The 26,664-nt window shown below is 42.4% G+C and overlaps 2 protein-coding genes, 1 long non-coding RNA gene and 1 other non-coding gene across 12 annotated transcripts in view, besides 2 other annotated features; all 4 read left to right on the top strand.

The window, feature by feature from the left end:
- RBM34 (RNA binding motif protein 34) overlaps positions 1-4,309 on the top strand; it is a 30,068-nt gene extending 25,759 nt beyond the window's left edge. For all 9 annotated transcript variants that reach the window (NR_144491.2, NR_027762.3, NR_144492.2 and 6 more), the window contains one exon: positions 3,495-4,309. Coding sequence is in view for 5 of the 9 variants with exons in the window: in XM_047449700.1 (XP_047305656.1) it covers positions 3,495-3,779 (285 nt within the window). In the remaining 4 variants the exon portion in view is untranslated. The remainder of the gene's footprint in view (positions 1-3,494) is intronic.
- Positions 6,378-6,477: an enhancer, noted in NCBI's record as "active region_2794". NCBI's record gives its function as "activates an Ori minimal core promoter by ATAC-STARR-seq in GM12878 lymphoblastoid cells {active_cell/tissue: GM12878}" and the evidence as "EXISTENCE:reporter gene assay evidence [ECO:0000049][PMID:35858748]".
- TOMM20 (translocase of outer mitochondrial membrane 20) lies at positions 6,655-26,151 on the top strand. The gene is made up of 5 exons (NM_014765.3): positions 6,655-6,897; positions 13,120-13,166; positions 15,593-15,674; positions 21,582-21,724; positions 23,384-26,151. Exons 1-5 carry the CDS (start codon positions 6,777-6,779, stop codon positions 23,426-23,428), a joined length of 438 nt encoding a protein of 145 aa, NP_055580.1. The 5' UTR covers positions 6,655-6,776; the 3' UTR covers positions 23,429-26,151.
- Positions 6,708-6,927: an enhancer, noted in NCBI's record as "active region_2793". NCBI's record gives its function as "activates an Ori minimal core promoter by ATAC-STARR-seq in GM12878 lymphoblastoid cells {active_cell/tissue: GM12878}" and the evidence as "EXISTENCE:reporter gene assay evidence [ECO:0000049][PMID:35858748]".
- Positions 7,291-8,573, top strand: LOC105379283 (uncharacterized). Its single transcript, XR_949295.4, has 2 exons — positions 7,291-7,863; positions 8,523-8,573. It is a non-coding gene; the product is annotated as an uncharacterized LOC105379283 (long non-coding RNA).
- On the top strand, positions 7,555-7,689 carry SNORA14B (small nucleolar RNA, H/ACA box 14B). Its single transcript, NR_002956.1, has one exon. It is a non-coding gene; the product is annotated as a small nucleolar RNA, H/ACA box 14B (small nucleolar RNA).
- Positions 26,152-26,664: the final 513 nt, after the last annotated feature.

The following is a 26,664-nucleotide window of genomic DNA, read 5'->3' as shown; positions in this document are numbered from 1 at the left end:
TTTGGGAGGCCGAGACGGGTGAATCTCTTGAGCTCAGGAGTTTGAGACCAGCCTGGCCCACATGGTAAAACCTCGTCTCTACTAAAAGTCCAAAAATTATCCAGGTGTGGTGGCAGGTGCCTATAATCCCAGCTACTCAGGAGGCTGAGGCAGGAGAATCGCTTGAACCCGGGAGGTGGAGGTTGCAGTGAGCCGAGATCGTGCCACTGCACTCCAGCCTGGGCCACAGAGCAAGACTCCATCTCAAGGGGGAAAAAAAAAAATACAAAAAATTTAAAAATTAGCCAGATGTGGTGGCTCATACCTGTAATCCCAGCTACTTGGGAGGCCGAGGAAGGAGAATCACTTGAACCTGGGAGGCAGAGGTTTCATTGAGCCGAGATCACACCACTGCACTCCAGCCTGGGTGACAGAGCAAGACTCCGTTTCAAAAAAAAAAAAACAAACCGGCCAGATGTGGTGGCTTATGCCTGTAATCCCAGCACTTTGGGAGGCCGAGGCGGGTGGATCACCTGAAGTCGGGAATTCGAGACCAGCCTGACCAACATGGAGAAACCCCATCTCTACTAAAAATACAAAATTAGCTGGGCATGGTGGCACATGCCTGTAATCCCAGCTACTTGGGAGGCTGAGGCAGGACAATCGCTTGAACCCGGGAGGCAGAGGTTGCGGTGAGCCGAGATTGCTCCATTGCACTCCAGCCTGGGCAACAAGAGCAAAACTCTGTCTCAAAAAAAAAAAAAAAACCCGAAAACGAGAACTGAATTTATAACCTGCCATAATATATTGCTACAACTGCACCTATCCAAAAGATGTCCCAGTTCTTTCTTCATACTAATTAAATGTTTTTGATCCTGGATATTAGAAGTACTAAATCACTGAATCTTCTCTACCTTCTGTATGATAGAGTAAATAATTGACATTAAGGTATAAGAAAGTTTTATTCTTTGTACAAAATTAGTTATATTTAGTTCGCTAATTTTTAACCAGTGTTTCATGCCTGACAATATTAAGGAGTAAAAGAATATACAGGCCGGGCATGTTGACGCGTGACTGTAATCCCAGCACTTTGGAGGGCTGAGGCGAGAGGATTGATTAACGTGAGGACTTCAAGTCCAGCTTGGGCAACATAGGTAGACACCGACTCTACAAAAAAATATACAAGTAAGGCTGGGTGCGGTGGCTCACGCCTGTAATCCCACCACTTTAGGAGGCCAAGGCAGGTGGATCACTTGAGCCCAGGAGTTCAAGACTAGCCTGGGCAACATGGCGAAATCCCGCCTCTACAAAAAAATACAAAAATCAGCTGGGCGTGGTGGTGCATGCCTGTAGTACCATTTACTTGAGGAGCTGAGGTAGGAGGATCACCTGAACCTTGGGAGGTCGAGGCTGCAGTGAGCCACCCAACCTGGATGGCAGAGTGAGACCCTGTTTTAAAATAAGAAAGAAAAATTAAAAAATAAAAATCTAGCTGGTCATGGTGGCCAGCGCCTGTGGTCCTATCAGGAGGCTGAGGCTGGAGGATTGCTTAAGTACGGGAGGTCAAGGCTGTAGTGAGCCATGATTGCACCACTGCACTCCAGCCGAACTGACAGAGTGAGACCCTATCTCAAAACAAAAAAATAATCTATTGTCATCCCTTGATATCCACGGTGTATTGGTTCCAGGATCCCTCTCACATAGCAAACAGTATATATATATCTGCAGATGCTGAAGTCCCTTATATAAAATGGCACATTTGCATGAATGTATATTGTTATATATAATAAATTTTTTTATTGTCATATTATTTGTTGTTTTCAAGTATTTTCTATCTGCAGTTGATTGAATCCTCTGATACTGAACTCACGGATTTGGGGAGCTGACTGTACATACTATGTGATGTCATAAATTTTTCTTCTCTCAGTAACAACCCATTACTACATTTCCTTTCAGTTTTTCCTTGTGCTGCCATTTTTATAGTTGAACTTGTCTCTGTGAACTTAAATTATATTTACATCTTATTTTATGTTGTTTTCTGTTATGTAAGCATGTTCCATTGAGTGATATAACAGAGTTTATACTGTCATTTCTCTCATGTTGGACCTTGGTAGAATTCTCTGTTTTTCCCTGTAATAATGAAATTGCAGTGGTTATGTGTTTTTTGTTTTTGAGACAGAGTCTCACTCTGTTGCTCAGGCTGGAGTGCTTTGGCACGATCTCAGCTCACTGCAGCCTCTGCCTCCCAGGCTCTAGCGATCCTCCCATCTCAGCTTCCTGAGTAGCTAGGACTACAGGTGTGTGCCACATGTCTGGCTAATTCTTGTATTTTTTTGTAGAGACAGGATTCACCATGTTTCTCAGGCTGGTCTCCAACTTCTGAGCTCAAGTGATCTATCCGCCTTGGCCTCCCAGAGTGCTAGGATTATAGGTGTGAGCTACCCCGCCTGGCCTGGTTATGTTTTTTTCCCCAAAAGTTTGGATTGTAGATTACTTAAGATAGATCCCCATTAGGATATACTAGGTTAAGATGTGTTACCATTTTGAAGACTCTTGATGAGAATTGCCTGGTAGCTTTTTTAGAAAGATTGTCACAGCGTTTGTTGCCATTGTTACTGTATTGTAGTTACCTTTCTGCTTGTCTGCTCCCTTTCTTCTATTACTTGATAAGCTTCTAAAGTCCTTTAACAAACATCTCATGGATATTCAGGGTTGTTAGCATTAATGGCTCTATATTGGAACAGAAGTATAACAGAATTTTGGATCTAAATGGAACCCTAGAGGGTGTCTAGTCCAACATCTCGTAATGGAGCGTTCCCTGCCCTCTGGTCAGCTAATACAATGGGGCTTTGACAGAAAGATGGCTATACGAAGGAGGTTTATTCGTTTAAAATATTGCATATGGGGGCCAGGCGCGGTGGCTCATGCCTGTAATCCCAGCACTTTGGGAGGGCAAGGTGGGCAGATTACAAGGTCAAGAGATCGAGACCATTCTGGCTAACGTGGTGAAACCCTGTCTCTACTAAAAATACAAAAATTAGCTGGGTATGTTGGCCCGCGCCTGTAATCCCAGCTACTTGAGAGGTTGAGGCAAGAGAATCGCTTGAACTCAGGAGGTAGAGGTCACAGTGAGCCGAGATCGTGCCACTGCACTCCAGCCTGGCAACAGAGCGAGATTCCGTCTCAAAAAAAGAAAAAAGAAAAAAAGCCAATATTGCATATGACTAATCTAGTCTAGAACCTCATTTTACAATGAAAAAAAAAAACCACGAAGCCTGTAGCATTGTGACTTAGCTGAACATTTCACAAGGCAGCTTGAGTGCTTTCTGAGGAAACACTGGTGACGAGCATGGTGATGAGGAGACTTCGAGTGCAGCAGCTGATACACCTGGGATTGGATGGGGCTTATCTGTGCAAGCTTGAAAGTCGTTCTCATCTGTTAAAGTGACACTTTCACTAGTTTCTTTGCAGATGGGTTTCTGGTAGCAATTAATGTATTGTGTTTTCTTTTGCAGAATACAGATTCTGTTCATCTTGCTCTGAAATTAAATAATTCTGAACTCATGGGGAGAAAACTCAGAGTCATGCGTTCTGTTAATAAAGAAAAATTTAAACAACAAAATTCAAATCCACGATTGAAGAATGTCAGTAAACCTAAGCAGGGACTTAATTTTACTTCCAAAACTGCAGAAGGACATCCTAAAAGCTTATTTATTGGAGAAAAAGCTGTTCTCCTTAAAACGAAGAAGAAAGGACAGAAGAAAAGTGGACGCCCTAAGAAACAGAGAAAACAGAAATAACAACCAGGAACTGCTTTTTCTTTTCCTGCTGAGTACTGCTAATAAAAGTGCTATTATCTGCTGATAGCATCGTCTGCTATTCATGTGTTGAGTTTTATACTTCTTTATGGATGGTGTATGTGAAATGTGGAGACTTCCACATTCTCAGTTTATTCACATTGTGATACTACCTTTGAAGGTTTTTTTGTTTTTGTTTTGTTTTTTGAGATGGAGTTTGGCTGTTGTCTCCCAGGCTGGAGTGCAGTGGCGTGATCTTGGCTCACTGCAACCTCTGCCTTCTGGGTTCAAGCGCTTCTCCTGCCTCAGCCTCCCAAGTAGCTGGGATTACAGGCGCCTGCCACCACGCCTGGCTAATTTTTTGTATTTTTAGTAGAGACGGGGTTTCACCATGTTGGCCAGGCTGGTCTCGAACTCCTGACCTCAGGTGATCCACCTGCCTTGGCCTCTCAAAGTGCTGGGATTACAGGCGTGAGTCACTGCACCCAAGCCTCCTTTCTCTTTTGCCTATTAAACCTCTGCTCTTAACCTTACTCCGTGTGTGCTCAAGTTCTTGATTTCCTTGGCATGAAGCAATGAACCTTGGGTATTACCCCAAACGATGTCGCTTCAGTATCTCACTTTGTTGCCCAGGCTGCTCTCAAACTGCTGGACTCAAGTGATCCTCCCACCTTGGCCTCCCAAAGTGCTAGGATTACAGGAGTGAATCACTCATCAATTCCAAGGGGCTAGAACTCCCAGGAACTGGGGACAAAGGCCAGCCAAATTCTTTATTATGCAACCTCGTGTTACTGGAAAAGGATCCAGATCCAGACCCCAACAAAGGGTTCTTGGATCTTGCCTAAGAAAGAATTTGGGGCCAGTCCACAGAGTAAAGTGAAAACAAGTTTATTAAGAAAATAAAGAAGATCACTCACGGTGGCTCATGCCTGTAATCCCAGCACTTCGGGAGGCCGAGGTGGGTGGATCACCAGATGTCAGGAGTTTGAGACTAGCCTGGCCAACATGGTGAAACCCCATCTCTACTAAAAATACAAAAATTTGCTGGGTGTGGTGGCACATGCCTGTAATCCGAGCTACTGGGGAGGCTGAGGCAGGAGAATCGCTTGAACCCAGGAGGTGGAGGTTATAGTGAGCCAAGATCATGCCACTGCACTCCAGCCTGGGTGACAGCAAGACTGTCTCAAAAAAAAAAAAAAAAAAAAAAAAAAGTGAAAGGTTACTTTGTAGAATGGTGCATACCCTAAAGCAAGAGAAGGAACATGTCCACCTTAGGTACAAGGCTTGTTTGTATTGAACAGCAAAAAAATGAGGAAGATGAGCTCTACTCCAAGAGCTTGTGACAAAGGATTTTTTGTGTGTTTGTTTTGAGACGAGGTCTTACCCTGTCACCCAGTTTGGACTGCAGTGGTACAATCATAACTCAACTGCAGCCTCAACCTCCTGGGATTAAGGGATACTTCCGCATCATTCCCCATGTAGTTGGGACCACAGGTGTGTGCCACCACGCCTGGCTAAGTTTTTAATTTTTTTGTGGAGACAGGGTCTCACCATGTTGCCCAGGCTGGTGTTGAACTCTTGGGCTCAAGCTATCCGCCCATCTGGGCCTCCCAAAGTGCTGGGATTACAGGTGTGAGACACTGCCTGGTCTTTGTCAAAGGACTGTTAATCCTGTGTAACTACTGTCTTCTGCAAGGATCAATATTATCTTTAAAGGGAAAATTAAACTAAGAATGCTTTTGTTCTTAAGATATCAGGACATCAGGACATTTCCTGGGTCTGTTAGGTAAACATTATTAACTTGTTCCCTTCCCTGTAAATATCCTGTGACCAAGAATGCCAAACTTCCTGGGAATGTGCCCCAATAGGTCTCAGCCTCATTTTACCCAGCCCCTATTCAAGGTAAGGTAGCTCTGGTTCCAATGTCTCTTGACACTGATGCTTGACTTCGATACCCCTCAACTTACAGTGTCTGTTTAATGCCTGCTTTCTGCCCACGATTTTCCTTGTCAATATCTTAAGTTAGATCATATATATATATATTTTGTTTTTTTGAGACGGACTCCTGATCTGTCACTCAGGCTGGAGTGCAGTGGCTCGATCTTGGCTCACTGCAACCTCTGCCTCCTGGTTCAAGCGATTCTCCCGCCTCAGCCTCCAGAGTAGCTGGGATTACAGGCCCCGGCCACCATGGCCAGCTAATTTTTGTATTTTTAGTAGAGACAGGGTTTCACTATGTTGGCCAGGCTGGTCTCAAACTCCTGGCCTTAAGTGATCCGCCTGCCTCGGCCTCCCAAAGTGTTGAGATTACAGGCGTGAGCCACCGCGCCTGGCCTGATCATGTGTATGTTTTCGTGTGGCTATAAAACAATTCACGTTTTCTATTTTTTCTTCAATTGTGTATATTTTTCAAGAAATTACTCCATTTAATTTTATTCCAGTTATCATAAAATGAGGCTATCCTGTAACATTCTTTTGAAATGGAACCACTACGCACAATGGATTGTGGCAACCTGAAAAGAAAGTACAGTTTAATTCAAACAAGTCACAGGCTGCCTGTGTTAGACAAGATGAAGCATTCGCAGTCTGGGACCCTGCATCTCTGTCTGCCACAAACAAGGCTGTCAGCTAGTCTTCTGAGTACGTGCACGCCAGTAACGCGTACGCCTCGTTACAGCATGGTCGGCGGATATGAAAAAAAGTCCGTGGTCACGTGCAAATTCCCGACTCCAGTGCGTACACCCAGCGGCGCAGGGGAAACGCCGGCTTCGCCCACTGCGCAGGCGCAGGAGCCGCGCTCTGGGCCTCTGCTCAGGCTCTGCCGCGGACGACCTCGAGGCCCTTAGTTGACTGGGACCGGAAGTGGCGTGTGCTCGGCCTTTCTGTGTTCCTGGCCCGCGGCCGTCGGGTGTGAGCTGCGCCGACCGCTCTGAGGGTTCGTGGCCCACCGCTCCTTCGCGGTCCCTGCCGCCACCGTCCACGCTCAGCGTTGTAGAGAAGATGGTGGGTCGGAACAGCGCCATCGCCGCCGGTGTATGCGGGGCCCTTTTCATTGGGTACTGCATCTACTTCGACCGCAAAAGACGAAGTGACCCCAACTTCAAGAACAGGCTTCGAGAACGTGAGTGGGTCCTCTCTCCCCTGGCCAGGCTTGCTGCCTTCGGCCGCCGCCCTTCACAGGAGGGGTCATTGCCTCCCACCAGCCTGTGGGCCGCGCAGGGCGACCGCGTGGTGCGGCCCTCAATAGGCGATGGCGCTGGCTGCGCCGCTCCGGGGGCTCTAGTGCCCCGTAGGAATTCCATTTTGGAGGAAGGATTTTTCCCGTTTTGTTTTCCCCAGACACTTTAGCCGTGCAAATGCACTCTTGATTTCTGTTGCAATCTCGGGTGTGTGTGGCCTGGGGAGGAGGTTGTCTCTTTTTTTGTCGTTCATCTTTTTAAACCTCTACTCTTAACTAAAAAGTCGTGCATTTTTGTCGCAAATTTTAGTCTGAGGCTAAATCCGCATGCTCAGTGCAGTATCATTGTTGCATTCTTTTTTTTGAGACGGAATCTCGCTCTGTCGCCCAGGCTGTAGTGCAGTGGCGCGATCTCGGCTCACTGCAACCTCCGCCTCCCGAGTTCAAGCGCTTCTCCTGCCTCAGTCTCCCCAGTAGCTGGGATTACAGTCGGGCGTCACCACGCCCGGTGATTTTTTGTGTTTAGTAGAGACGGGGTTTCACCGTGTTGGTCAGGCTAGTCTCGAACTCCTGACCTCAGATGATCCGCCTGGCTCATTGCTGCATTCTTAAACCCTCTTGGTAGCTTCGTTCTAAGTGCTTCCAAGATATGAGTGAATGCTATAGAAATTGCAGGGGAGTCCAAAGGGCTGCGCTTCTCCCGTGGCTCAGTCTTATTTCATACCTGCGACATCTTTTAAGAGAGGTCTACCAGAGGGGAATCGTGTCATGAAAACCGTTGTGATCCACCTTGAATTTTCGGAGAATCTTCATTCGCATCATTGAAGAGCAAATTTGTTGCAATAAGAAATATTTTTTGGCTTATCTTGGTTGTTCAGCCAAATTAGTTTTTGGAATTAAAATTGATACGTAAGTTACTAAAGCCCAAGGGGTACAAAGAAGGGATTATTGTTTACTTAAGTAACAGTGGTTACGGTTTAATTCAGCTATACTAAGTCATTTCAAGTGTTCAGTAGCCCTGTGTGAGCAGTGACTGCAGCGCTGATCTTACTAGCACTAAGAATCAGACATCTAGTTCCAGCTTTCTTATGTTTTAGGAGGGAAGGGATATAGACATAATTTGATTTATGACTAGGCAGACTAATAGAATACTGTTTTACATTCAGACCTTGAATTTCTAGGGCCAGGTTAGCGGCATAATTTGGGGTTTCTGAATCCTAATTTCTGTAGTTGTAAAATCAGGTAATGCCACCTACCTCTTGTTGATCTTGTGAAGGTTGAGATGTTTGAATTGCCTTCCACGTTTTCTGACATAGGAAATGCTCCTCCATAAATGCTGGTGGTCATTCTGCCTTCGGGTTATTGTCCTGTAGTTGCCAAAATGGGTGACAGCTGGGGGCTTTGGTACAAATGCAGAGTTATAAAGAATGGATTAACCCTATCTTCCGTTGGAAACCCTGAAGTCCTGTTGCAGAAACAAGAGCTATCATTTTAGACAAATGGAGGAATGTTATTTCAAAATAACTTCTCCATCATTTTCAATCTAAAATTGTTTTTTCTGGATTTAGCGGCAACCTAATGATTACAGTGAATTACTTAGCTGCAGCAGTAACTTTAGGCAAGTAACTTCAAGCTTTAGTTTTCCCTTTTTGTAAAATGGTATAGTGTAGAGTTTTAGTCCTGTTCCTCACACATGGTAATTGATGAATGCTAGAGATTTTTTGTTGTTGTTGTTTGTTTGTTTGAGTCTCGCTCTGTCGCCCAGGCTCGAGTGCAGTGGGGTGATCTCGGATCATTGCAACCTCCGCCTCCCGGGTTCAAGCAATTCTGCCTCAGCCTCCTGAGTAGCTGGGATTACAGGCGCACACCACCATGCCAGGCTAATTTTTGTATTTTTAGTAGAGACAGGGTTTCACCATATTGGCCAGGTTGGTCTCGAACTCCTGACTTCATGATCTGCCCGTCTCAGCCTCCCAAAGTGCTGGGATTACAGGCGTGAGCCACCGCGTCCGGATGAGATATTTTTATGAGTAGAAATATTTTGTTGTTTGATGTTTTTGTAAAATTTATTTAGAATAATCTTGCAGTCTGTTCACAGGTAATTGAGGCTGGGTGTGGTGGCTCAACGCTAGTAATCTCAGCACTTTGGGAGGCCGAGGTGGGCGGATCACCTCATGTCAGGAGTTCAAGCAGCCTGGCCAGCATGGTGAAACCCCCACTCTGCTAAAAATACAAAAATTAGCCGGGTGTGGTGGTGCACGCCGGTAGTCCCAGCTGCTTGGGAGGCTGAGGCAGAATTGCTGGAATGTGGAAGGTGGAGGTTGCAGTGAGCAGAGACTGCACCACTGCACTCCATCCTGGGGGGACAGAGCAAGACTCTGTCTCCAAAATATACGTGTGTGTGTGTGTGTGTCTTTATATATATTTATATCTATATCTATCTATCTTTATCTATCTATCTATCTATCTAATCTAATCTATCGACCAGGCGCAGTGACTCACGCCTGTAATCCCAGCACTTTGGGAGGCCAAGGTGGGAAGATCATGAGGTCAGGAGATCGAGACCAGCCTGGTCAACATGGTGAAACCCCGTCTCTACTAAAAATACAAAAAAAAAAAAATTAGCTGGGCGTGGTGGCACGCACCTGTAGTCCCAGCTACTTGGGAGACTGAGGTAGGAAGATCGCTTGAACCTGGGATGCTGAGGTTGCAGTGAGCCGAGATGGCGCCACTGCACTCCAGCCTGGGGACAGAGCGGGGACAGAGCGAGACTCGGTCTCAAAAAAAAAAAAAAAGTGCAGTTGCGTGACTGGCTGATTTTAAAAAGTTTAGGGGTATTTTGCCTTTGTGGAATGAAATTCTGTTCAGTTAATTTTGAGTTTTTAAAATTAATTTTTTTTAAATTTTGAGTTCTTCTAGTCTTATTTCCAATAGAATATTTACATCTGCAATAAAAGAGCAGTTTTTCACATAAGGCATGTAGCTCATTGGCTTTCTTTTTTGTTAAGAAGAGAGACTTAGGCGGCCGGGCGTGGTGGCTCAGGCCTGTAAACCCAGCACTTTGGGAGGCCGAGGCGGGCGGATCACAAGGTCAGGAGATCGAGACCATCCTGGCTAACATGGTGAAACCCCGTCTTTACTAAAAAATAGAAAAACTTAGCCGGGCATGGTGGCGGGTGCCTGTAGTCCCACCTACTGGGGAGGCTGAGGCAGGAGAATGGCGTGAACTCGGGAGGCGGAGCTTACAGTGAGCCGAGATGACGCTGCTGCACTCCCGCCTGGGCGACAAAGCGAGACTCCGTCTCAAAAAGAAAAAAAATAAAAAATAAAAGAAGAGAGCCTTATATTGTTTAAAATGAGGCTTGAGGTTAAATTTGGGATCCTAATTTATTTAGACTTTTTGTCACCTGTTAGCAAAAGCAGAGTATCAGGATCCTTGAGGTGTAGTTTTTATCATTCTAAATTATGAGTAAATGAAATGTAATTTGCCAAATTACAATGCCAGCTGCAGGTGCATTTCACTTATATGGGACGGATAAAATGACACATTAAAAATATATTAAGCATCTTATTTAAATGAATAAATCTTGGAAACATTGAGTCAAGGCTTGATTTTGCTCATTGTTAAATTTCTTCATGGTTTTTCAGTTGATTACCATCTGTCCCTTTATCACAGAAATACTGCATTATACTATATCTGAAAATATGTTAATGTAATAAGTTAATTGTATTATGAAACTAAAGCCAGAATTTTAATCTTATTGCTAAAAATGTAAAGCAACTAAGTGATCTTAAAATTTGGTAGCTGTATCAGTTAAATGTATTCAGTGGCAATCACACACTCCTCCCCACCTTATTAAAAAAACTTATGACTCAGTTTCACTTTCCTGGGTTTCATTATCAGTTTTGTCATTTTCCCTAAATTCTGGTTTAGCAAATTGTATGTCTCACATACAGTTGATCCCACAAACTTGGCATGTTCATTTCTGAGGTGCCTTTTGTTTTGATGGTAATAACATCTTTACTTCTCCACACTATTAACTATAGAGGCAGAAGAGAGTCATGTTTCAAGTCCAAAAGCCTGGGTTTGAGTTGCCATTCCACCAGTAAGTAATTGTGACCTTGGTACATTTTCTCATCTGGAAAATGGGGATGATAATAGTACCTGGATTTTGTTTTTTGTTTTTGTTTGAGACGGAGTCTCACTCTGTGGCCCAGGCTGGAGCGCAGTGGCGCTATCTCAGCTTACTGCAACCTCAAACTCCCAGGTTCAAGTGATCCTCTTGCTACAGCCTCTCGAGTAGCTAGGACTACAGGCGCCTGCCACCATACCTGGCTAATTTTTTGTATTTTAGTAAAGACGGGGTTTCACCGTATCAACCAGGCTGGTCTTGAACTCCTGACCTCCAGTGATCCGCCCGCCTTGGCCTCCCAAAGTGCTGGGATTACAGGCGTGAGCCACTGTGCCCAGCTGTAATTCTTTTAATGTTGTTGTGAGGATTAAATAAGCTAATAAACATTTAGAACAGTGTCTCGCATGTAGCATCTAAAACTTAGTGCTCACATCCAAGCGTTCCTTGTCTTCATGTCCAGATCCTTTGAAGTCTTCCATTTCTTTTCTAGTTTTGCTACGCTCCCTCCAGTACAGGTTCCAGTGTAGACCACGATATTTAGCAATTAGATATTGTTGTCTGTTATCACTCATTATTTTCTGCCTTAAGAGAACAAAAACCCATAAGCAAATGGAGGGTTGAATTATGTTCTTTATCCTTTTTCCCCACAGTTAGTTGTGCGGTGATGAACACTTAAGTAAGGTACTTAGAAAAATTAGCAGCCTTCAGATTAATACATAAGATCAACTTTAATGCATACTTTTTCTGTTGAAATGGCTAGAATTGTATTTAAGCCTTACAGTGGTAGCACTCTATTATGGGAGACGAGTGGGTATCTGATGCTGGTGTGATGAAATCCAGTTTATGAGGGTTGACTAAGAAAAGGTACCTTGACCATAGTAAATGAACCTTCTGTCTACAGGTAGGGAGACCTCTTTTTTGAGACAGAGTGTCGCTCTGTTGCCCAGGCTGAAGTGCAGTGGCACAGTCTCTGCTCACTGCAACCTCCGCCTCCCGGGTTCAAGCAATTCTCCTGCCTCAGCCTCCTGAGTAGCTGGGACTACAGGCGCCCGCCACCATGCCCGGCTAATTTTTGTATTTTTAGTAGAGATGGGGTTTCACTATGTTGGCCAGGCTGGTCTCGAACTCCTGACCTTGTGATCTGCCTGGCTCAGCCTCCTAAAGTGCTGGGATTAAAGCATGAGCCACTGGGCCCGGCCCTCAGACCTCTTTAGTCATGCATTGAAGCTTGGATTTGTAGAGTGCTTTAAGGTTTTCAGAGGACATTTGCTTGTTTCATGGCTTTTGTTTCTCACTGTAGTCCTGTAAGGTTAGACCTTATCTTGGGAGAGTGAGAGATTTGCCTAAGATCACCCAGCTAATAAGTATTAGCTAATAATAAGTATTGGAGCCTTACATTTTCTTAACTATGTCAGCAGTTACTCTCTATGTCATTGGTAGTTTTTAGTGATTATCACTTTAGGTGTAGTCCTGCATCAGTATCCTTGAGTGACTGGTTCCAGGCCTCCCCTGGATACCAAATTCTGATGATGCTCAAGTACCTTTAAGTGGTATAGTATTTTCATGTAACCATCATATGCCTCCTGTACACTTTAGATTTTTTCTTTCATTTAAGAATGCCAGTTTGCAACATTCAGTAAAGATATAATCTGGCATATTTCAGTAATAAAACTCCCTAATACTAGTGGCCTAATTCTTGCCCCTGTTACATATCCTTTGTTGGTTGGAAGGGGGGACTTGATCTGCTTATTGTAATTACTTTAGAAGTCCAGCTATTGGAGCTATCTCCATCTTGCAAATTGCTAGATCTTCTGCCCCAAAGGGAAGGAGAACGCTCCAGTGCAGTGTCACATTTCCTACAGCTCATTGACCAGAACATGTCATATGCTCTTGACAGATCACAGGGAGGGATAGATTCCTAGAGTTAGAAATGTTTTGCAAATGGAATTAATGACTGCCACAGCAGTTAGAATTCTTTTGATTCCCATTTTTATAATGACAAAATGTAAATATAACTTTGCATTTCTTGCAGGAAGAAAGAAACAGAAGCTTGCCAAGGAGAGAGCTGGGCTTTCCAAGGTAATAGTCTGGTTTCTGTTTAAATTATATATTTTGTAGAAATATTATTTTAAAATCTGTAATTGGAAATGTAATTAAAATGTAATTGGAAAAAGCTAGTTGATACTGGACATTGCTTTTTTATTTTAAAATACAGCTTATTTTTAGGAGTAGGTGAATAATGTAGTTCCAATGACAGTTATCGAGTCCTTCATTATTTCTTTTGCTGGCCATAACAACAAACAGCTTACTGTATGAACAATAATTAAGGAGCAAGATGAGGGCCTCAAGACATTTGCACCAAAAGATGAAAAGTTCCTAATCAGCTGCTTCAAAATGATACAATATTACACTTAAGATTTAATTTCTTTACTCCAACTTCCTGTAAAAGAACCATGGGTTATTATTTCAAAAATTATTCAAGATTATTCAAGCCCACTGATCCAGAATCCCACTGCCCTGACAAATTTTTGCCTTGTTGCAGTACATAGTTCTGGATATAAAACTTGTAATTTATTTTTTCTTCTCATAGATCCTGAGTTCTTGATTATTTTTAATGACTATGTAGGTTTATCTACTTGGTAAAAAAATGTTCTGTGGCGTGTGTAAGTAAATTAAGTAAATGTTAATCATTGTGCTTGCAGCTTTTCCTTTTTATTGAGATGAGTTCTATTGTTTGGGTTCTTAGGACTTGGATTACTGGATCATTAGTGGTTCTTTTTAAAGCAAGTTGAGACAAGGAAAAATTAAGTTAACCAGTATATTTTGTTATTTTGAAACAGTTGTGTAAACACAGCTAGTTGACTGGACATGGTAATAGTGAAGTGAAAATGGGAGGAAACTACTTCGTTCTAGTAGGATCAGACTACCTTTCTGAAGTATGTAATATGTTTATTATGCTTTTGGTAACTTATATTTCTAAGGGCATAGGAAAACAGATTGAGACATGCACCAGTATGTATTTTTAGATTCAAGAATAGAATTAAATTATTGCTACATGCTGGGGTAGTGTGTGAAAGATGTCTCCACTTTCAGAAATTTAAATTGTTTCACTTGTGTTGGCTAGGTTAATAAGAGTATGTACAGTGTAATTCAAGGACCAAAAACTTGCACTAATGGAAGTTTAGGTTTTCTCTTTTTTTTTTTTTTGAGATGGAGTCTCACTCTGTCACCAGGCTGGAGTGCAGTGGTGTGATCTTGGCTCACTGCAACCTCTGCCTCCCAGGTTCAAGCGATTCTCCTGCCTCAGCCTCCCGAGCAGCTGGGACTACAGGTGCATGTCACCATGCCCAGCTAATTTTTGTATTTTAGTAGAGATGGCGTTTCACTGTGTTGGCCAGCATGGCCTCGATCTCTTGACCTTGTGATCTGCCCGCCTTGGACTCCCAATGTGCTGGGATTACAGGCATGAGCCACCGCACCCAGCTACTGAAGTTCAGGTTTTCAAATAAAAATGGCCTCTTTTTTTTTTTTTTTTGAGACAGGGTCTCACCCTGTCACCCAGGCTGGGGTGCAGTAGCGGTGCAGTCACAGCTCACTGCAGCCTCGACCTCGTGGGTTCAAGCAATCCTGCCTTAGCCTCCCTAGTAGCTGGACTATAGGCATGCACCACCATGCCTAGCTAATCTTTTATTTTTTTTATAGAGAGAGGCTGAGGTAGGAGGATCACTTGATCCTGAGAGGTGAAGGCACTGAGCTGTGATCACACTACTGCACTACAGCCTGGGCGACAGAGTGAGACCCTGTCTCAAAAAACAGTCTTTTAGATGCATGTAAAATGTAGGCTGGGTGCGGTGGCTCATACCTGTAATCCTAGCACTTTGGGAGGCCGAGGCGGGTGGATCATCTGAGGTCAGGAGTTTGAGACCAGCCTGGCCAACATTGCGAAACCCTATCTCTACTAAAAATACAAAAATTAGCTGGGCATGGTGGCGGGCACCCAGCTACTCGGGAGGCTGAGGCAGGAGAATCGCTTGAATCCGGGAGGTGGGAGTTGCAGTGAGCTGGGATTGTGCCACTGCACTCCAGCCTGGGTGACAGAATGAGACTCTGTCTCAAAAAACAAAAAAACAAAAACAACAAAATCTGTATAAAATAATGTTGAATCATAAGGACAAATTGCTTACAGTTGTATAAAAATCTACAATAATGGCATCCGAAAATATTGTAACGTGCGTAGACGGTATAGATTTTGCACTCTTTTCTCTTTACATTCGAGTTAGAGCTTTCTAAGAATTATTCAACTACAAACTCAAGTTTTTTCTTTTATTCATTTGAATGTAGATGAACTCTTAATTCCTACAAGTATTCAGGAGTAAAGTTCTTCTATCAGATTTTTTTAGAATGAGTGATTTGGTTTTTTGTTGTTTTATTTTTATTGATATCTGTGTATTGGTTATATCCCCTGGCATAATTGTGGTGTCATTTATTAAATATTTTATTTCCAGTTACCTGACCTTAAAGATGCTGAAGCTGTTCAGAAGTTCTTCCTTGAAGAAATACAGCTTGGTGAAGAGTTACTAGCTCAAGGTAATAGTCATTGAAAAGCTAAGGAAATGGGTAGAATTTTTCTCACTGATAGAAATTTATAATGATAAGGGGCTTTGTTTGTGTAATTTGGCTGTTAGAAAAGGTACTCCAAGTATCTCAAGACAAGTTTTTAGGCACTTAATAATTGGAAGATTATTTTGTGTAAGACTGGCTCTAGAAAGAAATATTCCTTGTGGGATATTGTTGTCCATAATATATTTTAAGTGAGTTTTAGGTTTTCTTGCTATATCATATGATGTAGAAGATAGTAAGTTTTTACAAATGAGGTTCTCTTACTCTGAAGTAGTTTCTAATGTATAGCCATAGTGCGATATGTAAATAGTAACTGAAGGAATGTGAGCTAGGAATATACTCCTCAACTCCTTCATCTAATCTTCAGATCTTTTCCAGTATTTATAGGAAGGAATGGCTAATGTAAGGTCCCAGAGAAGGTTAATTTACCTAATCAAGGTCACACGGTGAGTTCATGACCCCTTATTTCAGAACCAACTTGTTATCTGATCCAGAATTTAGCCTTTTCATTACATTGTACTTCATTTATTTCATCAACAGTGCTAAGAAGTTTCTAAAAAATATTCTATCTTTAAAGTTCAGCTATGAAATTGAAATTATCAAATTGACAAACGTGAGAACCGTAATTTACTCAATAATCTCAAAAGTAGATTTGAAGTAGTTGCTATCGTTATTAAAACTGCTATCAAATATTTTAAAATTCTGATTGCTGTATCAATAGATTTAGATAGAATTGAACTACATGATGTGGGGCATTTGTGTGTGAATGAGTTTGTTTTGTTGTTTCTTTTATGGGGAGAGTTTAATTCATTTAAAATGGTGGTAACTAACTTTATCACGTCTCCCCTTTGCCAAGAAATACTTTTTTGATATCAATAGAATTGCTCAATTAATTTGACCTAAAGAGTCACAGTACTCAAATTGCCAACAGACTGGGAAGGGGTAAAAATCAGTGAGTAGGGACAGGCATGGTGGCTCATGCCTGTATTCCCAGCACTTTGGGGAACTGAGGCAGGAGGATTGCTGGAAGCCAGGAGTTCGAGACCAGCATCGATAACAAAGTGAGACCCTCATCTCTACAGTAAATGAGAAAATAAACCAGGTGCAGTAGTATGCACCTGTAGCCAGCTACTCAGAGACTGAAGTAGGAGGATACCTTGAACCCAGGAGTTTGAGGCTCTAGTGAGCTGTGATGGTGCCACTGCATTTCAGTCTGGGCAACAGAATGATATGCTGTCTCTTAAAAACTATATACATAAAATCTGTAACTGCAGAGGAGTACAAGATAGGCACCAGTCAGGAAACATTTCCAAGTCTCCTACAGGCATCACACTGCAATTTCTCCATCAATCTGAGAGAGAGGACCCAGGCATTGGGGAAAGGGAAAGCATTCCCCCTCAGTGCTAAAGCAGTGCTGCATACTGAGTTGCTCTGCTCCTTGCATCGCATAACACTGGGTTTGATCTTCCTATGCTGATAGATAGATTTTATGATATTCTCCATGCTGTTGTATTAACAAAAGATACCACTTACGACGATCTGGCTATCCAGTCAGCAAAAGTTGTAGCAACATCCACTTTGCACAAGAAGGGAGCTCAAAATGACAAGATCACTGCAACTGAGGTTGTGTCAGTGTATCTTCAGCATTGTTGCTAAATCTGCAGATACAGTAATCAACAGTGCTAGTTCAGAAGAGATTTAATTATAGTATGTATTCAGAAGCAGGAACTGACTTAGCCAGTCTTTTGATTACTGTAATTCTAAAGTGACCATCAGTGGATCAGTGTGCAGCCCTGGGTCGGATCCCTTGTGATGGGTATCACTACATCATCATTTCAATACCTGGGAAAGGAATTGGCCAAGATGGTGCCTGGGAACCCAGATGACAATGACCTACACAATTGGAGTATCCTGAAACATTGTGTAGATGGGACAATCATAGTCCTCACATTGGCAGTGGAGATTCACCTGTTTCTGCTGATGGTCAAGAGGTTAAGAAAGCTCTTGGAAACCTTTACTTATACTCAGGTGCCATCAGATACCCCGCAGTAGTCAAAATTTTACCCAAAATGTTTCTCAGTCTTTCCACAGCAGCCAATTGGTAGCACAGAAAACATATACCAGATTTAAGAGCCTGGAAAGAACACCAGTGACTATCCTGATACCCAGGCTTGCCGTCAGCTGACAGGGTCAAGTGCATCGGGTATGATGGTAGAGATATTCCCTAAGACATACTTAATATCCTCAGCTTGCTGGGTAAAAATTAGTAAGATTGATCTGAAACTGTTTTCTCCTTTTTTTTTTTTTTTGTTTTTTTTGAAGTGGAGTTTTACTCTGTCACCCAGAGTGCAGTGGGTGGAGTGCAGTGGTGTGATCTCGGCTCACTGCAACCTCTGCCTCCCGGGTTCAAGCGATTCTCCTGCCTCAGCCTCATGAGTAGCTGGGATTATAGGCATGCACCACCAAGCCCGGCTAATTTTTTCCTATTTTTGGTAGGGGGTGGGTTTCACCATGTTGGTCAGGCTAGTCAAACTCCGACTTCAAGTGATCCACCTGCCTTGGCTTCCCAAAGTGCTGGGATTACAGGTGTGAGCCACTGCACCTGGTCTATTCTTACTCTTTTTTTTTTTTTTTTTTTTTTTTTTTTTTTGAGATGGAGTCTCGCTCTGTCGCCCAGGCTGGAGTGCAGTGGCGCGATCTCCGCTCACTGCAAGCTCTGCCTCCCTGGTTCATGTCATCCTCCTGCCTCAGCCTCCCGAGTAGCTGGGACTACAGGCGCCCACCACCACGCCCGGCTAGTTTTTTGTATTTTTAGTAGAGACGGGGTTTCACCATGTTAGCCAGGATGGTCTCGATCTCCTGACCTTGTGATCCGCCCGCCTTGGCCTCCCAAAGTGCTGGGATTACAGGCTTGAGCCAGCGTGCCCAGCCCCATTCTTACTCTTTAAGATCAATTTCCTGTGAATTTATATCGTGGGAAATTGTTTGGTAAATAAAAAGAATCTAGTAAAAAATGATCTTAATGGTATTAAGAACTGGAAAAGGTCTGAGGTGTTTTGTTTTGTTTTGTTTTTGAGATGGCATCTCATTCTGTTGCCCAGGCTGGAGTGCAATGGTGCAGTCTCAGCTCACTGCAACTTCCACCTCCCGGGTTCAAGCGAGGGTTCAAGCAATTCTTGTGCCTCAGCCTCCCAAGTAGCTGGGATTACAGGCGTGTGCCACCAGGCTCAGCTAATTTTTTTTTTTTTGAGATGGAGTCTCACTCTTTCGCCAGGCTGGAGTGCAGTGGCATGATCTTGCTCACTGCAACTTCCGTCTTCCAGGTTCAAGCGATTCTCTTGCCTCAGCCTCCTGAGTAGCTGGGACTACAGGCACGTGCTACCATGCTCAGCTAATTTTTGTATTTTTAGTAGAGACCGGGTTTCACCATGTTGGCCAGGATGGTCTCGATATTTTGACCTCGTGATCCACCCACCTCAGCCTCCCAAAGTGCTGGGATTACAGGCGTGAACCACCACACCCCGGCCTAATTTTTGTATTTTTAGTAGAGATGGAGTTTCACCATGTTGGCCAGGCTGGTCTTGAACTGACCTTAGGTGATCCACCCACCTCGGCCTCCCTAAGTGCTGGGATTACAGGTGTGAGCCGCCGTTCCCGTTCATTTCTGAGATTTACTTTACTTGCATGCTAACATGTTAGTTTGCCCCAATTTCATGGATGCTGGCAAAAGACATGAGACCACTGGGCTAGAGACAAAGGACAGCTCGTTATTCACTGCAATAATAGTAACAAGGGTATTGGCATTTGCACTGGTTTCCCGAGCCACAGTTCCTATGGCAATGCAGAAAGGGGACACATGTACATGTAGTGGGTTGCGTATAGGAGAGGAGCCCTGAATTTAAGGATCCTGAATTTTTTATAATGGGCAGTAAACATGTGTGTGCTTTTCCCTACACATAGGTAATGTTGCAAACCTGCCTTTGCTCCTGAGGGAGGCAGTTTATATTCTGAGGTTGTTTACTGTACAAACATCCTTGAAAAGACAGTTTGGAGCAAAGGCAGTAAATATCTGCTCAGAAGTACAGAAATGTGACAGACTTGAGAATTGTTCCTCTACTTGTATTGTTATTATTTTTTTATTTTTATTTATTTCTTTTTGAGACAGAGTCTCGCTCTGTCGCCCAGGCTGGAGTGCAGTGGTGCGATCTTGGCTCACTGCAAGCTTCGCCTCCCGGGTTCAAGCAATTCTCCTGCCTTGGCCTCCCAAGTAGCTGGGATTACAGGTGTGCACCACCACACCCTGCTAATTTTTGTATTTTTAGTAGCAGTAGGGTTTCACCATGTCAGTCAGGCTGGTCTGAACTCCTGACCTTGTGATCCACCCACCTTGGCCTCCCAAAGTGCTAGGATTACAGGCATGAGCCACTGCTCCCGGCCGTATTATTTTTTAAAAGTATATCTAATGGAGTTATTTTTATGTAAGGCACATTAAAATATTTTAATGGGAACCTCCTATACAGAACAGTGCTTAATTTAAAATATTTAATAGCATAGTTTTGCTCAAATATTTTGGGACAGTTTTTGGAGTTTGATTTAAAGTGGGATTAGGGCCGAGTGCAGTGGCTCATGCCTGTAATCTCAGCACATTGGGAGGTGGAGGCAGGAGGATTACTTGAGTCCAGGAGTTTGAGACCAGGCTGAGCAACATAGTGAGACCCCGTTTCTACAAAAAAAAAAAATTAGCAAAATTAGCCCGGTGTGGTGGTGCACACCTATGGTCCTAGCTACTTGGGAGGTTGAGGTGGGAGGATTGCTTGAGCCCAGGAGGTTGAGGCTGCAGTCAGCCAAGATTGTACCATTGTACTCCAGCCTGGGTGGCAGAGGGAGATTGTGTCTCAAAAAATAAATAAAATGGAGTTAACTAAGGACAAGGAGCACATAGCAGATACTTATTATTTATTGAATTAAGTGAACTTTGAAAAACTGTAAGCCTTAAGTATTTTTTTCAAACATAATATGTCTATTGAAGGATATTTATAGATAAAATAGGCTGGGCGTGGTGGCTCACACCTGTAATCCCAGCACTTTGGGAGGCCGAGGTGGGCGGATCATGTGGTCAGGAGATGGAGACCATCTTGGCTAACACGGTGAAACCTCGTCTCTACTAAAAATACAAAAAATTAGCCGGGCGTGGTGGTGGGCGCCTGTAGTCCCAGCTGCGCGGGAGGCTGAGGCAGGAGAATGGCGTGAACCCTGGGGAGCAGAGCCTGCAGTGAGCCGAGATCGTGCCACTGCACTCCAGCCTGGGTGACAGCGAGACTCTGTCTCAAAAAAAAAAAAAAAAAGAAAAAATAAGCCCTCCCACTCAGAGTTAATCATGGCTTTATTTCTCCTGTCATATTTCATTAGTATGACCATTTTTCCTGCTAGTATCACTTAAAATTTTTTTTTCTTCCCATGCGATACCATTCAAATAGTACAAAGATTTGGCTTAATGTGAAATTGGGTCTTCTTTCTACCCCAGTCCCCAGTCTTTTAGTTCTGTGTTACAGAAAAGTACTATGCGATTGTTAGCAATTGTCTCATGTAGTCTTTCAGAAATATTCCAAGTATATAAATAGTAATATACTTTGACATTTTTATACATTGATTTCCCCCTTACATATGTTTGAAACACTTCCATATCAGTACATGTAATCTGACTCATTCTTGTTAGTAGCTTCATAATAGTTATATGAATGCATTATAGGTCATTTCCAGTATTTTACTTGCTTAGTGTTTTTGGTCAGCATCATTTGGAGATAGTGTGTAAAGTTAATTTTGACAAAGGCCAAGGCTTTTCAGGTTACATGTAATTTTATGTAAATCTTACAGGTGAATATGAGAAGGGCGTAGACCATCTGACAAATGCAATTGCTGTGTGTGGACAGCCACAGCAGTTACTGCAGGTCTTACAGCAAACTCTTCCACCACCAGTGTTCCAGATGCTTCTGACTAAGCTCCCAACAATTAGTCAGGTAAGGAATTGGAATGTTATGACATAAAAGTGAGTGGGATTTAGAATCGAATGATTAGGGACATTTTAAAATGAGCCTAGTGAACATGATGAAATAAACTTATCTGTATAATGAAAACAATATGGGAGATATCAGCGCTTGACATTTTCCTCTCTGGTGGGAAACATCCAGATGACTGCCCAGATCTAGTGATTGTGCCCTGGAGGTGGATCAGGAAGTGTGTGTCTTAGTGATAAGTCTCAGGTCTTAGTAGTCAACTGTCCAAATTCAGGTCACTCTTGGCTACTTTCTACAAGTAGCTTTCTGCCTACTCTTCCAGGAGACCATGCCTTCAGTTAGGTGATCTGACAGAGGAGCCTAGATAGCTATAGCCTACACATTCGGGCCTAAACGTCGGTTCTAGACATTCAAGAGCATGGATTCCCTCTGACTCACTTGTGTAAAGGCTCATGCCTCTGCTGCTGCTGAGGTGCACTTTGAGTTTGGAGCTATTTGACGACATCCCCAAATCCCTACTCAAAAATGCAAAATAGCATTAATATACTGTAAAAGATTAACTTATGTGTAAATTAGGAGTTAATGAAAATGCTTTCTCTTCATTTTGAGTTCTTTTCAAGGAGCCCAAATGAATCTTGCTTTTTGGAATAGCGTGTCTGTTACAAGTGTTGATTTCCCAAGTTGGTGTGATTAAAACAGTGAATGATGATAGGAAGTATTTACAGAACTTTATAGTTAGTAACTGACTGGTTAATTTTTCAAACTGATTTTTACTCAACTGAATTAGAAAAGGACTGGAAAGAAAGTAAAGATCCCAACGACTTGAGGGAACAAGTTGGACAACCAAGGACTTTGTCTAAATTGTTTTTATTTAGACTAATGTGGTTCTAGTTCTAGAGGATTCATACTGGAATCATCGGTTTAATATTACGCTATTTGAAAGGCAGCATAGTATAGTACTTTTGGAAAATTGGCCTGAGGGTGATGTCTTTTGGAATATTTGTGAATTCACTATGAAGCCTAATTCCTTAAAAATGACCTCCTTCACTCAATTATCAGTGTTCTTGGTTTGCCTGGGAGTGAAAAGAGATCTTAAAATCTTTTTGGTTTTAGTTACATAATTGACTGATGTAATATTATGTAATGATGGCTGTACACAGTGTCTCATGCCCTATAATCCTAGCACTCATTTGAGCTCAGGAGTTCAAGGCCAGCCTGGGCAACATGGTAAAACCCTGTCTGCACCAAAAATAAAAAAAAAATTAGCCGGGCATGGTGGCATGAGTCTGTGGTTCCAGCTACTCAGGAGGCTGAGGTGGGGGAGGATCGCTTGAGCCCAGGAGTCAGAGGTTGCAGTGAGCTGAGATTGTGCTACTGCACTCCAGCCTGGGTTACAGAGACCCCATCTGAATTAAAAACATATATAATGTAATGATCTGCCTCCTTTGTTAACTTGACTTTTGAAATGGGATTGTCAGTAGTATGATCATTGTTTTCTTGGATGCCGACTGTGTGTAAAGTGTTACATTTTGAATTAAATGTCAGAATGGGTGAACTTTACTAAGATTCAATTCTTTGAATACAAAGAGCATTTTATTTTGAAGTTAGAATCCTAATTAAATGCTTATGACACTTTAAAAAATTATTTTTTTTTTCTTTCAGAGAATTGTAAGTGCTCAGAGCTTGGCTGAAGATGATGTGGAATGAGAAACAAATGTCAACATAATAAAATCTCAGTTAAAAATATTTTAAAAATTCTTGGTAGTTGAGCAGCTCTGGGGGAATAAGGGCAAATATGCTTGTTATGAACTACACTGAAATCTACCAAAGTTAATGTTTACTTTGTGTAGATCCATTTGTCTATTTTATTTATTTTTCCCAGTGAAAAGTGTATTTTGATAGAGAACTTTTCATTCTATAAATACACTATGAGTTACTAAAATATCATGGATTTTGTTTATTCCTGAAACATAGTTACATAGTTAAACTGTACATATGACATGGCTTATGTTAAAAATACCCAGTGCTCAGTTTTGAAAGATAGGCAAAAAAAAAAAAGTATAGGAGAAACTGAAGAATGTACACTTTTTTAGAGGGCACATTTTGCTGTAAATCTGGAAATTTGATAGACTTGACTGTGTTTGTGAAAACTGAGCATTAAAGGTTTTGATTGATCCTTTCTTTCCATTTAATCTCTGAGACGTAAATATGTGAGGTGTGCTGCTGTGCTGGGTTAACAGCTTCCTTCCCTTTCTGTGTAGCAGTCTTGAAATGTTCTGTTTAAATCAGTAGGCTTAATGTGTTCTGGGTATTTATCTCCTTGTATTTTAAATATATGTAGTTGCAAATAGCACCAGGAATTAGATTTCTGTACACCCCTAATCTAGCCTTGTGAGCTTCGCTAGTTAATGTGTGCTCACTTTCCCTCCATTTGTTACGTGAGAGAATGCGTCTGCTGATCACTGAAGTGTCCCTTTTAGCTTCTGATTCATTGGGTTCTGTTGGGCATCTTTAAATCCACCTTAACCTGAGGAATGTATGTGGGCAACCAGGCCCTGCATTTTTTTATATTCTGAATTTTGCATGCTTGCCTGACTTAGTATTTCTGAATTGATGTTTTTTTTAATGGTATAACTATCTTGATTTTCACTGAAATTATATGGTTCTGTCACTACTCTGTAAATTAATCCGAAACTTTTAAGGTAACTGGGATGATCTGCTTGTAAAAATGCTTGTTGCCTTTTGCTTTATCTTCAGTGTACCTCCTTAATCCTGCTTCAACTTGATTATCTTGTGAAACGATGAGAGTAAGTTGCAACCTTGTGACTGAAAACTTGAAAAGAGTGGAGCAGGTGGGACCTCTTATTCTCAAATAGTGACATATTCTCCGTAGTCACAGTTTCAGAACTGAGTAAGGATCCTTGGTACTTGGTGGCATCTGTTGAACTGAGGAGCATTTCTCATTGTAAAGATTGCCTTTGTTCTGTCTAAAAGTCTGGAGAAATCCCAAAGACTTTTCCTATGTACTAGGCATTTTATTTTGATTGACTTACAAACTCTTCTTAATCATTATCAATCTCGGTTTTTTTGTGGTGCAGTGGAAGGAGAAATAGGTCTAGTTTCTGCCTCTGATTAGCCGCACAGCCTTGAACAAATCACATTTCATCTTTGAACTTACCTCTACTGTTAGACTAGGCGACTCACATTTGAGGACTTTTCTCGGGTATCTTGAGGGTTTGTGATCCTGAACCCTTAAACAGTGCTTTTTTGTTACACAGGAGGGCTTTTTTGGGGGGATGACCAGTACAGACATGCCAGTTAGTTTTACTAGTGGGATCCCAAATCCAAAGCAGTGTAGTGGTGATTGGTCAGTGACTAACCAGGCAGCTAAGAAGTCTTAGGCAGCAGCCCAGACATGTATAGAGGGGCAGTTAGAGGGAGAACAGGGGTGGGAAAGGGAGCAAGGGGCAGATAGCTCAGCAAGGAAAGAATGGGCTCAGAAAAAGGAGGGCTGGCTGGAGGAGTGAGGGGCAGCTTAAGTTTGGGGAGGGTAGAAACGCCGTTTCCTTGGGAACTGGAGTGCAGTATGAGCTGGGTGTCACTTGGCTCTGAACATACTGGCTTTGCTGTAATGCTTGAAAAGGCGTTGGTATCTTCATTTTACAGTTCATTAACCCAAGTACGTTTTCTTATTTAAATGACAACTTTGGTGCTTTAAAATGAGGTACCACTTTTTAAAGCTAGCTGTGTCGAGTTAAAGAAAAAATCAGCAGTTTTTTCTCCCAGAAATGTAATTGCCAAACACTATTCATCCCCATCTTAAGTTTTACAAGGTGATGTAATCAGCTTGTTGTAGTGATGCTGGCCAAATGGTGCTCAGCAGGTGAGAACAAAAAAACCCCAGATCTCAGTGAACTAATACACAGCTTGAGCGTTTCCATGTGCTAATGTTGCACACTTACTAAAAAACTTTGGAAATGGAAAATAATGTATTAGTGCAACAGTTGATGTGCTTCTTTGGGCAAAGATATAGTTTTGTTCCACAATTTGTACTTAAAAGCGAAAGAACATTGAAAACATAGACTTACTGGCTGTAGCAATGCTGGCCTGTTAACTGATAACTAGAACTTAGGTTCACGTTTATGTAAAGTGTGTAAAACCTAGTAGAGCTTGCATAGTCGGCACTCAGTAAATGTTTGGTTCCTTTTGCCCCTTGGTAAGTTTATTTTACCATCCTCCCACCTGCCATTCTGACTTTATTAAATCAACATGTGGACCAGAGTGTTAATGAGATGTTATTGCAGAAGAGATTGAGAAAATTGGTATATCATGCAGATAACATACAAAATCTTTTTGTAACGTAAAAAATGCAGTTTTATTATTGCTTGTGCCTCAACTGTTTAAGTGAATATTAAAGGGCTTGGAGAAAACTTTGGCTTGGCGTATGTTTGGAGAAGTGAACTCTGCTGAATTTATTGAGTCTAAAGCTGTGGGTTTTTTGTTGTTAACGTCTTTGAGGATGTCTAGGGCCGCAGGCTTCCCTGCCAGAAGAATGCACATTTGCTTCAGATTCCAGGTGAAGAAAATCCCTGTGGTAGTGTCAGCGCCTGAGGGCTTCCAGGTGGTGGTGGGCCCAGCGTCAGGAGATAGCAGTCACCTGGGAGGCCCGTTACAACAGGTTCGTGAGAGGAGCCCAGTGGTGGTGGTGCTGACGTGCGAAACATGAAGGCTTGTTAGAGAAACCAGCTGTGTTAAGGTGACAGAATGTGTACGTTAGCACTGTAAAAAGCAGCTAATTGGTAGCAGAACGTGCTAGCTGAGAATACGTTGTATTCTACATCACTGATAATGATCTGAAGTGTACAAGTCATCAGTATCAGATCTATGAGAGTTTTTGTAGTTTTGCTCTAACATAAATTTCTCTTTGCCACCTCCAAAGTTAT

Source organism: Homo sapiens, chromosome 1 (genome assembly GCF_000001405.40).
Source record: "Homo sapiens chromosome 1, GRCh38.p14 Primary Assembly".
Taxonomy (NCBI): Eukaryota; Metazoa; Chordata; class Mammalia; order Primates; family Hominidae; genus Homo; species Homo sapiens.
Note: the sequence above shows the minus strand (reverse complement) of the source record. Positions and strands in the feature narration are given on the sequence as shown.

What these genes read in the sequence shown, in the direction of transcription:
- TOMM20 (NM_014765.3), top strand. Translation starts at nt 6,777, where the DNA reads ATGGTGGGTCGGAACAGCGCCATCGCCGCCGGTGTATGCGGGGCCCTT. An exon ending in CAAGAACAGGCTTCGAGAAC is followed by an intron (nt 6,898 to 13,119) that starts GTGAGTGGGTCC and finishes CATTTCTTGCAG; the next exon opens with GAAGAAAGAAACAGAAGCTT. An exon ending in AGAGAGCTGGGCTTTCCAAG is followed by an intron (nt 13,167 to 15,592) that starts GTAATAGTCTGG and finishes TTTTATTTCCAG; the next exon opens with TTACCTGACCTTAAAGATGC.